At 40.3% G+C, this 15,262-nt stretch overlaps 1 long non-coding RNA gene across 1 annotated transcript, besides 1 other annotated feature; it reads right to left on the minus strand.

Moving 5' to 3' along the window:
* Positions 2,750 to 3,250: an enhancer, noted in NCBI's record as "H3K27ac hESC enhancer chr5:98175311-98175811 (GRCh37/hg19 assembly coordinates)". NCBI's record gives its function as "activates a minimal SCP1, AML or CMV promoter by ChIP-STARR-seq in naive and primed H9 embryonic stem cells {active_cell/tissue: H9 hESC(naive and primed)}" and the evidence as "EXISTENCE:reporter gene assay evidence [ECO:0000049][PMID:30033119]".
* Positions 4,184 to 8,809, minus strand: LOC105379099 (uncharacterized). The gene is made up of 3 exons (XR_001742818.2): positions 8,357 to 8,809; positions 5,004 to 5,074; positions 4,184 to 4,662 (listed from the first exon to the last, which is right to left on the minus strand). It is a non-coding gene; the product is annotated as an uncharacterized LOC105379099 (long non-coding RNA).
* Between the last annotated feature and the right edge of the window lie 6,453 nt (positions 8,810 to 15,262).

A 15,262-nucleotide genomic window follows, 5' to 3' on the forward strand; every position in this document is an offset into this window, starting at 1 on the left:
TGAAAACAGTTGCTTTACAGACATATGCCACTTGTTATGATAGCAGAACACTTTTGCCAAAGTACCATATCCTAGTCTCAATTTTGCCAAATTTATCAAGAATAAATATTATCTCTACCCTAGAAGACCAATAATGAAGGTTACACATGATCAAGGTAATGTGAACAAGAATTGTCTAATATCTGAAAAATCTATTTTGACAAACATGTTTTCCTGTGTTATAGTTGAATGAAAGATTCAGCAGTGAATAAATCATAGACATCAGAACTATATACACAGGCCAAAGTTAAGAAATAAGCATATATGTTAGATGAGATTGGTGAAGTCAATAATTAACCTGTATCCACTTAGGTCAATTTACCTCTTTGTGTCTCTATTTTCTTATTTACAAAGTGAGATAAATAAAGCAAATTCTAAGATTAACTTCCAACTTGATTCTATATATATTTGTAAATGTATTCATGTATTTAATTCCAGTATTATTTAATACTTTAGGAGTATGGAATAAAACAATTTAAAACATAAAAATACTTATACATAAAATATTTATACATTTGCACAAGTATATTGCAAATATATCATTATAACAGAGGCATTAACTACTTTATAATTATTTGCATTAACCAAAAAATATAAATCCAACCAGAAAAATTTTGCATCAAATGTATCACAGAATATTTTTCTGTTTTTGTTATTGTTGTTGGTTGTTTTGAGACAGAGTCACATTTTGTTGCCCAGGCTAGAGTGCAGTGGCGTGATCTCGGTACAAGTGATTCCCCTGTCTCAGCCTCCCAAGTAGCTGGGATTACAGGCACCCACCACAACACCTGGCTAATTTTTTTGTATTTTTAGTAGAGATGAGGTTTCACCATGTTGGCCAGGCTGGCCTCAAACTCCTGACCTCAGGTGATTCACCTGCCTCTGCCTCCCAAAATACTGGGATTACAGATGTGAGCCACTGTACCCTGCCCTGTGCATATTTTTTAATTTGTACAAGTTAATTTTAAAATCTGAAGGCCAAAATATGCAAGGAACAAACAAGACAATGTATTTGTCTAAAGGTACCTAAATACAATATCAGCTTTGGGAAACAAGAAAAAGTTAATGACAGATAATTGGTTGGAAGGAAATATTTACAATATTTTGAACCAATAAGGAACTAATTTTTAGTATTCCAAAGGAACAATAATTAACAAGTAAAAGGAAAATCAATACAAAAATTGATAAATGATATGAGCAGGCAATCCATAGACGAAAATAACTCAAAGGAGTATAAAATATATGAAGAGATGTCAAACTCATTGTTAATCGAGAGAAATACAAGTGAAAACAAAAGGGAGAATTTTTAAAATAAAGCAAGATGATGCTACTTTATACCTATAAGATTGGGGGGAAAAAAGAAAGTCTGATAATGTCAATCATTGACATAAATAAGGGGCTACAGAGTCTGGGACTACAGAGTCTCGGACTACAAATGGGAGTGTAGACTGGTGCAGCCCCTCTGGAGAGCAATTTGGTAACAGTTTGTCAAATGGAATAATAAAGTAAAATAGACCCTGTGACTGAGTAATCCCATTCCTGGGTACATATGTGAGAGTTTTCTTACACAGGCTCAGCCTATGAGAGGACATATGCAAGGATATTAATCTCAGGGTTGTTTGTAATAATGGAAAGTTAGCTAAACTAGAAAGCTGAATGGAGAACTATACAGTCAAAACAAAAGAATAGGGAGATTTATGAAACCAAGGTAAACATTAAAAACCAAAACACCACTGTTAAAAATTATAAAGAAATTAGAAACAGCATGGGGCAAAACAACCACAGCTGAAAATCAAATCAGTGGCCTAGAGAGAAAGACATAAGACAATCACTACAGATGCAAAATAAGAAAAACAGATTGAGGCCAGGTGTAGTGGCTCACACCTGTAATCCCAGCACTTTGGGAGGCCGAGGTGGGCAGATCACCTGAGGTTGGGAGTTCAAGACCAGCCTGGCCATCATAGTGAAACCCCGTCTCTACTAAAAATACAAAAATTAGCCAGGCGTAGTGGTGCATGCCTGTAATCTCAGCTACTCGGGAGGCTGAGGCAGGAGAATCGCTTGAATCCGGGAGGCAGAGGTTGCAGTGAGCAGAGATCACGCCGCTGCACACCAGCCTGGGTGACAGAGCCAGACTCCCTCTCAAAAAAAATAAAAAATAAAAAAAATAGATTGAAGAAATTGTATAGAAGATTGTAGAAAAGGAGGACAATGAAACAGAAAATGTATTCATAGATATTATTTTCTTAAAATAACTTGCATAAATGTTAGAAATAATGAAATCTGCAGTAGAAAAAGTATACAGATTATCAACATAAACATAAACACATATTCTGGTTAAGTTACTGAATTTAAGAACAAAAATTTCTTCATGTTTCCTTACAAAACAACTAACTACATGAGGGAAAAGATAGGCTGTTAACAGAAGAGGACGTAGCAATAGCTACACAAGGCTGAGGGAAAGAAAGTTCGACCTCTGGACATGATATTCAGTCAAGTGAATACACAGGTGAAAGGCAGGTATCCTAAGACCTCACTGAACTGGGAGAACACTGAAGTCTGCAAAATCTATTGGATGACAGAATGGACTCAACCTAGAGATTAAAGTAGAAATCTTGGGTGGCGGCTTGGAGCCCAGGCCCGACAGCGGCCCCCGCGCTGTGCAGGCGTTCGCTTAGACGGGAGCACTGCAGACGCCCCCGGCGGCAGCGACCGGGCGAGAGCGGGGCGGGAGCCGGGCCCGGCGCCCCCGGAGCCAGCGGCGCGCGGCTGACAAGGCTGGACCCTCGCGCGCCTGGAGACCGTACCAAAGCAGCAGGGCTTCGAGTTCTGGAGCTGCACCCTTCATGAGCTGAAGAGGCCAGGCTCCTCCCCCTGCATAAGGTGCAAATCCCCAGTGGCTCCACCCCGCACAAGCGGGCCCCCCAGTCTGTTGTGGGCATGCCCAGACAGGTTCCCTTAACCGCCTTCTGCATCTATCATTTCCCCCCTCTAAAGAAGTACATCCAACTGCCATTAGAATAAGGATAAGGACAAAGAACGATCTGAACTGCTTCCTGCCGACAGAGGGCACTGTTTTAGGAAGACGGCAATCATATCTCCCTCGGAGGCCTATCTAAGTAAGGGTCCTCGGTAAAAGGGGGCTACCATTTAAGGTTCCGATTACATGATCGTTTGGAGTTCAGTGGCCTAAGGTAAGAAGAAACAAACTGGCTTATTAGAAAACATGTAGCAAAACGAAACAAAAAGGGGTGAGGACAGCTCAAAAATCCCCAGACTTCCAACACGCGCAGATAACTAGTGGCTACAGTTATGCCTGCTAAGATTTGGGTGCATGGGGCTTGGATTTGGTGAGCTCCCTTGGGCTCATTTTCCCAAAAAGAAACCTCCAGGTTATGAGCACCTATTTACTCCCATCACCTGGTAGGATTTGCAGGATAATTACTCAGAATTAAAATATTGATCTAGATTTTTACATTAGCCATCCCTTTTGTTCCTTCTGAGCTGCAGCCGGAGATTGCTGGTTGGTTCACAGGAACAAGTAGGGTTAGTCTAAAATGTAGGCAAAAACTTAAAAACAACTAATGAGTTTAGAATTTAATGACAAATGTATGATAAATTTCAAAACATAATTTCTCTCTCTCCAATCAATTTGTTAAAAATAAATCATGATAAACCTGAGCTGTTTGCAAAATAGACTTTAGTCTTAATACTTGGCTTGATTACTTGCATAAAGTGCAGCAAGAATAATTGTTTTTACATAGGCCTTTTTTTTTTTTTTTTTTTTTTTTTTTTGAGACAGAGTTTCGCTCTTGTCGCCCAGGCTGGAATGCAGTGGCACGATCTCGGCTCACTGCAACCTCTGCCTCCCGGGTTCAAGCGATTCCTCTGCCTCAGCTGACATAGGCTTTGATGGAATTCTATTCCACAAGGAATCTCAGATAGGACTTTTGAAAGCCAAGCCCAGCTATGGGTTTGTACCCTCAAATACCTATGAGTTGGGTAAACTCCACTCTTCTTGAGGTCCCAAGAACATGGGGTTCCGGGACCTGTTAAAAAGTGACATTCTTTACTCACCATAGATTAGGAACCCTGTACAGGGACTGTGTAGACAAGGTATGAGGCAGTTTTCCCAAGGGGCTTTTATCGGCTCTACAAGTCAAGCTTGATTCCTTAAAGGGAAGCATACCCTTCCAGTCAAAGCCTTGGCAAAACAACCAGTTTCTCCCATTGCATCCTGTTGCAAAAGGAAATGGATTGTTATTGCACTGATGCAAACAACTATACTGCCTTAAGTCAAGAACACTCATGACAAGTTTCCAAATCCTGAAGAAGCCAGTCAGAGAAAAAAACAAATATGCTCCAAATTTTGTTCACAGGAGTATACCTTACTCAATTATTAAAGCCCATAAATAGCTCAAAATACATATCCTTGACTCTGAAAAACAAAACAAGGATCAGCAATGTTCCAAGCAAAAGCCAAAAAATATTACTTCAGTTTTCTGTTAGGTCAGTCCATTCAGTTTATTCTTGCTTTGCTTGACATTCATGAACACTTCAGTTCTTCATGAGTCCTGTACTTTTTTTAATTCCATTGTCACAATCCCCGAAGTTATCAGAAACCTGCATTTGAGAGCACCTGTCAAGATTCTATAGCTGATTATAAACCATGTTTTGAAGAGGATCAAAACAAGACAACAATTGTCTGCGAATAACAAAATGTCCAGGGTAGTTACTCTCAAAACACAATTGACAAAGAAATCTGGTTATCTCTGTGGTTTATAATAATTTAACATAATAACCTTAATTGTGATCAATAGCATATACTCAGTCATTAGAATTTTAGAAATCTCAGACAATTCTGAAACAAATATTAATATTATTTCCTAAAGTACAATCCAAAGAAGATTAAACATCATATTGGCAATCACACATACCTAAACATGTCAAATAATCCTGCTTACCTCTCTTTTGGATGCTCCAGGGGTCCTCTGTACCATCCAAGAGCTAGGGGTCAGGAAAGACAATCTTGAGGCTGAAATTTGATTTTGGGAAGCCTGTTAATGCTATGAAATAGAATTCTGTATTACCATAAGTTATTTATTTTGCCAAAATGATGACTCAAAAAATTTAAAACAAAGCAAAAACCTTTACTCATTAAGAGGGAAAACTTAGCTTTCCAAACAGTTTGTCTCCTGCTTTCTCTTTATTTTCTTTGGAAGCCTATCCACAAGGCAAACAGAAATCTTTCATTATCCTTTACTATTACACAAAAATCTTGTACATGGGAGAGAGAGCCAAATTTTGCCCTTACATTAGTTTACTATTGATGTCAACCCCAATTTTCTAATGAAAACTTACAGACAATTCTATCTGATCTTAACCAGTTTGACCATTAGGTAAGATTCTTATAACCTTTCATAACCCTTTACAATTTTTGCTAAAGAGCAGATTACTGCCTTAAGGGAAACTTGTTGTGCTTTCATTTCAATGCTGAATTTAGAGAAAAACAATATAATACACTATTGAATTTAGTCAATGTTTACACACAGAATTTCTTTTGCAAGATTAATTTTTACAATCCTTCCATAACGTTCTTAAATCTTTAGCTTTATTTTATCTAATTTAAAACAATCCTTTTACCATAGGCAAAAATTTAGATTTCCATGCCTTCTTATATTTTACTAAGATTATATGATTAATGATTATTTACTAAGATTAAGGCCTATGTCCCCAGGCCTTACCATGTTGTAAAGTAGGCAAGTTCTCAAAGGCCAAAGAAACAGTGTACAACTTTAAAACATTTAGCAAATCTACTATCTGACCCACAGAATTTAGACCACCTATTTCCATTTTAGCTACATTTGCATTTTACCAATAATCTTTAAGACTTTTTTTTTTTTGAGACAGAGTCTCGCTCTGCCACCCAGGTTGGAGTGCAGTGGTGTGATCTTGGCTCACTGCAAGCTCCGCCTCCCAGGTTCACGCCATTCTCCTGCCTCAGCCTCCAGAGTAGCTGGGACTACAGGTGCCTGCCACCACTCCTGGCTAATTTTTTGTATTTTTAGTAGAGACAGGGTTTCACCGTGTTAGCCAGGATGGTCTCAATCTCCTAACCTTGTGATCTGCTCGCCTCGGCCTCCCAAAGTGCTGGGATTACAGGCGTGAGCCACCATGCCCAGCCAAGACTGTTTTTATTACTCAAAGATTAATGTCACATGAACTAAAAGGCATTATAGCTTTTATTTTTCCTTCAAAAATATTTGATCTAAGCACTTATTTTCCTTTAGGCCAATTAATTAGAGCTCTCTTTTTTATAGACATCACACACAACACATACATAACCACACAGACAAACAGAAGCAGATTCAGTAGTTATAAGATTTTCTGTTTACCAGCCAGGCGCAGTGGCTGTCATCCTAGCACTTTGGGAGGCTGATGGGGGTGAATCACCTGAGGTCAGGAGTTTGAGACCAGCCTGACCAATATGGTGAAACCCATCTCTACTAAAAATACAAAAATTAGCCGGACGTGGTGGCTTGCACCTGTAGTCCCAGCTACTCAGGAGGCTGAGACAGGAGAATAGCTTGAACCTGGGAGGCAGAGGTTGCAGTGAGCCAAGATCGTGCCATTGCACTCCAGCCTGGGTGACAGAGCGCAACTCCGTCTCAAAAAAAAAAAAAAAGATTTTCTGTTCACCAATCTCCTTATTGGACTATTGGCCTCTAAGTGGGGCCCTTTAAGAGCAAGGCTAGGAAAGCATGCACTTCCTAGGGCCTAATAAACAGGTATAGCTGGAAGACAAAAGCAGATTTTGAAAGGAATCCATCTGCCTCTAATTCCTGGAGCTCCATGAGGAAAACAGAGGTCTCTCTAAAAATGGAATTAGTGGCACCTTTTCTGTTTTCACCAGGCCATCAGAAATTATCTTAGGGCCTCTCATGTGTGCATTAAGGGTGGCAAGAAAAAATGGAGAAAAAGAATTCAGTCAACTGAGAAAACAACCTTTTTCCAGCAAAATAAGATCCAAGAGGAGAAAAACATAAAGGCCTTTTAAATATACCTATAACTTGGATATCCACTTTTAATTAAGCTGAGTGCTCTTTAAGAAAATCCTTTTAAATCCCTTATTACCTGATTTTACCCATGCCAAGCAGCCAATATTTCTGGCTTTTGAATTTTACCAAAGGTAACCTCCCAGGTGCTCAGAGAAAGGAAAATTGAAGGTGGTTCATGAAGGGGGAGAGAATCAACAATCAAACCAGAAAGAGAATCAAGAATCAAACCAGAAAGGACCCATTACCTAAGCCAGGATTGAACCCAGGCCACCATTGTAAAATGGCAGAGGCTAAAAGAAAGCACTGCCACGTGGTTACAGGTCACGCTTTCAAGGAAGTAAAACAAGATGGAGACCCGCAGCAAAGTTTGCCACTGACCAGTTTGCTAGGCTGGGTTGAACAGTGGGCCTATGGAGTCCCAGGCCCACATCGCATCCTAAGGTACCCCTCTTTCTGACAGAATCATACAGAGAGACATGCAAGGCATACCAGATTGGCTACAGCTTAAGGCCAACTTCACAAATACTTTTTCATAATTAAAACTTTAAAGAGAATATAAACAGTGATCCTAAACATTCTCTTTACTGGTTTGCACAGGGACAGGGAGGCCAAAAGCCCAACTGGTTTAAAAAAACTCTTATCCTTTTTCCAGCACGTCAGGCTTCTGGCTTCCCTCCCCTCAAGCTCAATCCCAAGCCAACCAGTTTAAGGCTTGGGAAATTAACTTTTCCCAGTTTGGAGGATACATCTGAGGGGAGTGCCCTGCAGCATGGGGACACAACCACCCATCTGTGAAGAAAGGACAGAGGAGGAAAAAGGCAGCATTTTTTCAAAAGAGCCCCAGGACTCAGGATGCATTTGAAAGAGATGCAGACTGAAAATGAATGGCTACGCATCTAGAAAGAGGGGAGAGAGGCATCCCTGATTCCCTTCTCTTCCTAGTGAATACCTGGGGTACATGAGGTAGAGAAAGTGAGGCATCCCTCTTTCTTTATTTATATCCCTGAGTCCCGGTGACCACAACACCGGGTGGTCACCAGCACACGGGTGCTGCCCATGAGTGTCAAAGCAGCTTTCACCCATGTTAACAGTGGGGCCTAGGGGATAGGATTATCCTCTCTTACCCATGTATGTCCTATGTCCCCTGCTGTCAGTAGCTTTTGAGTTCCCTAGATCTCATTTATGCCATGGATACTAGCATGACCTTTATCCATGAAATGAGAAGCTTGGCTTAATCAGCAGCAATTAGTCATGCTCACCTGCGCTGTGCCTTTTAACTTCCGTCATCGTCTGCCTCTGAATCCCTCAGATACAGTTTTCTTTCCCTGGGCTTCAACTCGAAGCTTGGAATTGAGTTTGGGACAAAAGACCTGCCTCAGGGGGTTGCATGGACTCCTTATCATAAGCTGAATGCTAAGGTGAAGCTGTGGAATTGAGTACTCCTCCAACAAGGAAAAGGAATTGGGGTCCTGACCTGGTGAAACATCTTCTAAAAGGAAAAAAAAAAAACTTACATAAAAGTTAACTCTGACGGGGTGGAGAAAAGAAAAAAAAACAACAACAGCTTAAATGCAGGGCTGGAAAGATGCCTGAAGGAAGAACCTCTTATTCTTATGCAAATGGGTTTCTCCAACAGGGAGAGAATTGTTTTTTTTGAGACAGTTTCACTCTTGTTGCCCAGGCTGGAGTGCAATGGCGCAATCTTGGCTCACTGCAACCTCTGCCTCCCAGGTTCAAGCAATTCTCCTGCCTCAGACTCCCAGGTGGCTGGGATTACAGGCGCCTGCCCACCATGCACAGCTAATTTTTTGTATTTTTAGTAGAGATGGGGTTTCACCAGGTTGACCAAGCTGGTCTTGAACTCCTGACCTCAGGTGATCCACCTGCCTCAGCCTCCCAAAATGCTGGGATTACAGGTGTGAGCCACCACACCAAGCCAAGAGAAACTTTTAATTGCTGTTTCTTCCCTGGGTCTTGGACCAAGCTGGAGCCCTCGGTTGGGGGAAGGGAAGACTCTGTGGGTACTTAGCGGGAAATGCTGTCCAGATGGCCACACAAGGCCCGGGCCCCCAAGGCCACCTTGGGCTGGGCGGTGGTGGTGGCTCATCCCTGCCCTGCATGGCCACTGGACATGGCATGCACATGCGGTGGACTCAGCCATGCACCTCAGCCAGGAGGGAAGGGGAGCAGGGAGCCGCTGTTCACCCATTTGTCCCACATGTGCACCTGCGGCCATTGGGGTGGGAGTGGAACACCCCCAATATTGTAAAAGAAAAGATAGGTGACATTACAGTCCCGAATAAAAAGAAGCAAAATGCCATAGAAAAGGCTGGGTTGGACCGAGACCAACATTCCTGACCCCCAAGAGCGACAAGGGGTCGGGGGTCGGGGTGGAGAGTTTCCTCTACCCTCAGAAGAAGTCCAACAAGGCTCAGAAATGAAAGGGAGAGAAATTTTTTTGTCCACATTTTACTCACCATGTCTCATAGTTCCAAACAGGCCACCAAAATGATACAGAATTTTTGCTCCTTAGTTCAGCTAAAATCTGGGTTCTTATCTCACAACCAGGAAAAATTAGGCACACAGGCACACTGAAGGGTGAGGAGTAGGCAAAAAGAAAGCTCTCAGCAAAGAAAGAGGTGGTCCTGCCAACAGGCCTCCACGTCACAGACTGAATACCAGGCCACCATACACAAGCTGAAGAGGCAGACTCCATCCCCGGCATAAGGTGTGAATCCCTGGTGTCTCCACCCCATTCTCCCAGTGCATGCATGCGGGCCCCCAGTCTGTTGCAGGCATGCCCAGACAAGGCCCTGTGCACCCTTATATGCCTCCTGCATCTATCAGTATTGTACTTTTTATAGGACACCAAAGGCACAATCCATGAAATAAATAATAAACTGGACTGGACTTCATTAAAATTAGTTTAGGTTTTTTTGTTTTTTTTTTTTACTCTGTATAAGACATTGTCGAGAGAATGAGAAGACAAGACACGGACTGGGAGAAAATATTTGCTGAAGATATATGTGATAAAAGACTGTTATTCAAAATATGTAAAGAATGCTTAAAACTCAACAGTAAGAAAACATACCCAATTTTCTAAAAAGGGGGGATTAAAGACCTGAACAAACACCTCACCAAAGAAGATGTACACATGGCAAATAAGCATATGAAAAGATGTTCCATATTATATGTCATCAAGGAAATGCATATTAAAACAAGATAACACTAAACACCCATTAGAATGTCTATAGTCCAGCACACTGACAACACAAAATGCTGGCAAAGATGTGGAACAAACTCATTTACTGCTGGTTGGAATGCAAAATAGTATAGCCACTTGGAAGACAGTTTGAGAGGTTCTTCTGTAAGTAAACATACTCTTAGCATGTAATCCAGTAATTGCCCTCCTTGGTATTTACCCAAACGAGTTGAAAATGTATGTCTGCACAAAAACATGCACATGGATGCTTTATTCATAATGGCCAAAACTTGAAGACAATCGAGATGTCTGTCCTTCAGTATGTGAAGGGATATATAAAACTATGGTACATCCAGACAACAGAATATTACTCAGTGCTAAGAAAAAATGGGCTAGCAAGTTATGAAAAACATGGAGGAAACTTAAATGCCTATAACTAAGTGAAGGAAGCCAATCTGAAAAGTCTAGCTACATGCTATAGGATTCTAACTGTGACACTTGGAAAGGTAAAGACTATGGAGACAGTAAAAGGATCAGGGGTTGCCATAAGTTAGGGGATTGAGGGAGAGAGGGAATTAATAGGAGGGGCACATAATTTTTAGGGCAGTGGAAATACTCTGTATGATACTGTAATGAAGGATACATATCATTATACATTTATCCAGATCCACGGAATATACAACACCAAGAGTGAACTATTGATTTAGGGTGACGATGTGTCAATACAGATTCACCAATTGTAAGCAAATGTAATACTCCATTTATGGGGAGGTTATATATGCGTGGCGACTAGAGAGTATATGTCTGTACCTTCCTCCCAATTTTGCCATGAACCTAAAACTTTTAGACTGAGCACAGTGGCTCATGCCTATAATCCCAGCACTTTGGGAAGCTGAGGCAGGAGGATCACTTGAGGCCAGGAGTTAAAGCCAGCCTGGGAAACATGTGAGACCCCTTCTCTACAAAAAAATTAGCTGGGCATGGTGGTGCATACCTGTAGTCCTAGCTACTTAGGAAGCTGAGGTAGGAGGATCCCTTGAGCCCAGGAGTTCAAGGTTACAGTGAGCCATGATGGCACCACTGCACTCCAGCCTGGGCAACAAAGCAAGACTCTGTGTCTCAATAAATAAATAAGCCTTAAAATATATATATTTATAAAAAGACAAGCAATACAAAATAAAATCAAAAGCTGGTTTTAAAAATATCAACAAAATTGGCAAACCTCTAGTTAGGCTGAATAAGAAAAAGAGATGAATGATTAATATCAGAAACAAAAAAAAAAAAAAAAGGAAAGATCACTACAGAACATACAGACATTTAAAAGTTAAGGTGAAAGAACATATCACCTCAACAGACAACATTTATGATAAAACTTCTCTAAAAATGTAGAAGGCAAATTACAAAACCTGATAAAAGGCATCTATTAAAAAACTTAACTGCTAAGATAATAATGAAGAAAGGCTAAATGCTTCCACTGTAAGATAAGGGATAAGCCAGGATATCCACTCTCCACCTCTCCCCCATGTCAACATGGTATAGGTGGTCATACCTAGTGCAGTAAAGCAAGAAAAAAAAAGTATACAGATTGCAAAGAGGAATTAATGCTGTCTTTATTTGCAGATGTGATCGTGTGCATAGAAGAACCTAAGGCACAAATAAAACTTTTCACTAAAGACATGATCATTTATGCAGAAAATCTCAAAGAATCTGGAACAAAATTATTAGACCCAATGAGTTATTGAGCAAGATCAGAGGACACAAGGTCAAAGGACACAAGGTCAAATCCAAAACATGAGCACTTAAAAACTGAAAATAAAAAAATTTAAATAGCACAAAAATATAATTTACCAAAGATAAATGTAACAATATATGTTACAAGATTGCATACACCAAAAAACTGCTATATGCTGATAAGAAAAATCAAAATACCTAAATAATGTAGACATATTTTGTGTTCATGGGCTAGAAGTCTCAATATTGTTAAATTGTATTTCCCAAATTGATTATGTAAACAATGCAATCTCAAAATCCCAGCATGCTTTCTAATTTAGAACAAAACATTGTAGTTCATTGAGATCCAATTTTTTTTTTTGAGATGGATCTTGCTCTGCCGCCCAGGCTGGAGTGCAGTGGCATGATCTCAGCTCACTGCAACCTCTGCCTCCCGGGTTCAAGGAATTCTCCTGCCTCACCCTCCCGAGTAGCTGGGATTACAGGCGCACAACACCATGCCTGGCTAATTTTTGTGTTTTTTTAGTAGAGACGGGGTTTCACCATGTTGGCCAGGCTGGTCTCAAACTCCTGACCTTCTGATCCGCCTGCCTCAGCCTCCCAAAGTGCTGGGATTACAGGCATGAGCCACCACGCCCGGCCTGAGATCCAATTTTTTTAATATTAAATAAAGAGAAAGCCAAAACAATTTTTAAAAAGCAAAATAGGACTCACGACTACCTGATTTTATGGTTTACTATAAACTACAGTAATCACCATAGTGTGGTGTTGGCATAAAGACAGAAATATAAATTAATGGGACAGAATGGAAAGCCCAGAAACAGACTCACACATATATGAACAGCTGATTTTCAATAAAAATCAAATAAGCCAGGCAAGGTGGCATTCACCTATAGTCCTAGCTACTTGAAAGACTTAGTTGGGAGGACGGCTTTGAGCATGGGTGTTTGAGACCAGCCTGGGCAATATGGTGAGATCTCGTCTCAAAATAAATAAATAAATAATAAAGAAATGTAGTGGAAAAAGGATAGTCTTATTAACAAATGGTACTGAAAAAATTGGATATATAATATTTAAGCAATAACAAAACCCACAACTTTGTGTGTTCCACACAACATACAAAACATCAACTCAAAATGAATCACAGACATACTTAAAAGGTCAAGGCTGCAGTGAGCCATGATTGTGCCACTGCACTCCAACCTGGGAAAGGAGGATCACTCAGCAATAAAAGGAAATGAACTACTGATAAATGCAAAATCATGGATAATTACAAAAGCATCATGCTAAGCAAACGGCAAACTCAAAGGGCAACATACAATATGATTCCATTTATATGACATTATGGGAAAAATAAAACTATAGGAACAAATCAGTGATTGCCAAGGGCTTGGTATAGGGGAAAGGAGCAAAAGAGAATTTACTTGATAAGATGGAAATATTTTATATCTTAAGTACGCTGATAGTTACAACAACTGCATAATCTGTCAAAACTCATCATGCTGTACACCTAGAGAAGGTGAATTTAACTTGGGTAAACATGATGTAAATTTCTTAATGGGAAAAACCTAGCAAGTAACAGCAAGAGAGGGGATATTTTTTGCTTTTGCAATTTTACTTTAAAAACATTGGAAATACAACATATTTCTCTTAGTGTTTTTACAAGTCGTGTTCTTGTGCGTTAAGAAAGATAGTGTATCATGATACCTAAAAACATATTTCCTTTCGAAAGATAAGGGAATAGACAACCCAGTCACTGTGGCTTGAGTCTGTAATCCCAGCTACTTGGGAGGCTGAGGCAGGAAGATTGCCTTGATCCCAGGAGTTCGATACCAGCCTGGAGCAATATAGCAAGACTTCACTTCTAATTTAAAAAATAATAATGAAGAAGGTTCATAAGAAAGGTAAAGCAATAGACAAATCAGAATGTTTTATATTTTCCTATTATATACCACATCTCTGCATATCTCTTCGCAAAGTATCAATTATATTTCCTAAGTAGCCATATAGTTACAGAAACCAGTTTTTCATTTAAGCATTACTGTATTATTTATAACAGTGGAATTAACCTCTATATTAATTATTCAGGTAAATGAAAGAGATATTAAAGCCCCATTACTTGGAGCATTTCCCTGCCATTTTAATTCCTAGAGATGAGGCTTATGTTTTTCTATATTTCTCAAGTACCTCCGGTGATTTTTATCAGTCAAGTTTAAAAACTGGAAGTTAGTAAACAGACTCAAGTAATCCATGAGATAGTAAGGCATACGATAATTTCCAATACTAACAAATCAGGTTAACAACGGTAAGACAAAAAGTTTGGTAATGTTGGCCATTTATAGGGCATAGCATTTCCGGGAAGGACATTAAAAAAAATGAAAATATAATTGATACAAGGCATTGTTTTAAGTACTGAGAATATAGCAGTGAACAAAATAAAGTCCCTGCCCTAATGGAACTTATATTCTAGTGGGGAAGCAGTCAATGGCAAATGAACCAAATATATAAGCTGTGGTAATGCTAGAAGAAAATGCAAGATAAGGGATTTTTAAAAATGATGGGGCAGGGTACTAATTTCAAGACTTGAAATGACATTTGAGCTGAAAGAAACCTGAATTGAGGAAACGAGTTTTGTACAAGTCACAAATAAGCTTTTTTTTTTTTTTTTTTTTTTTTTTTTTTTGAGACGGAGTCTCGCTCTGTCGCCCAGGCCGGACTGCGGACTGCAGTGGCGCAATCTCGGCTCACTGCAAGCTCTGCTTCCCGGGTTCACGCCATTCTCCTGCCTCAGCCTCCCGAGTAGCTGGGACTACAGGCGCCCGCCACCGCGCCCGGCTAATTTTTTGTATTTTTAGTAGAGACGGGGTTTCACCTTGTTAGCCAGGATGGTCTCGATCTCCTGACCTCATGATCCACCCGCCTCGGCCTCCCAAAGTGCTGGGATTACAGGCGTGAGCCACCGCGCCCGGCCAAGCATTTTTTAATAGAGGGACAATAATGCAAAGGCCAAGAAGTATTTTCTTTGCATTGACAGGAGTGGCTGAAGTGAAGCAAAAAGAACAGAAATAGCTAAGAAGTGCCTTAGGCAGAAAGCTGTGAATGCATTTATCAAAGACCCTAGTTTTTAAAACTTTCTCTTTTTTTTGAGGCAGTCTCACTCTGTCGCCCATGCTGTAGTGGTGTGATCTTTGCTCACTGCAACTTCTGCCTCCTCGGTTCAGGTGATTCTCCT

This window comes from Homo sapiens, chromosome 5 (genome assembly GCF_000001405.40).
Source record: "Homo sapiens chromosome 5, GRCh38.p14 Primary Assembly".
Lineage (NCBI taxonomy): Eukaryota > Metazoa > Chordata > Mammalia > Primates > Hominidae > Homo > Homo sapiens.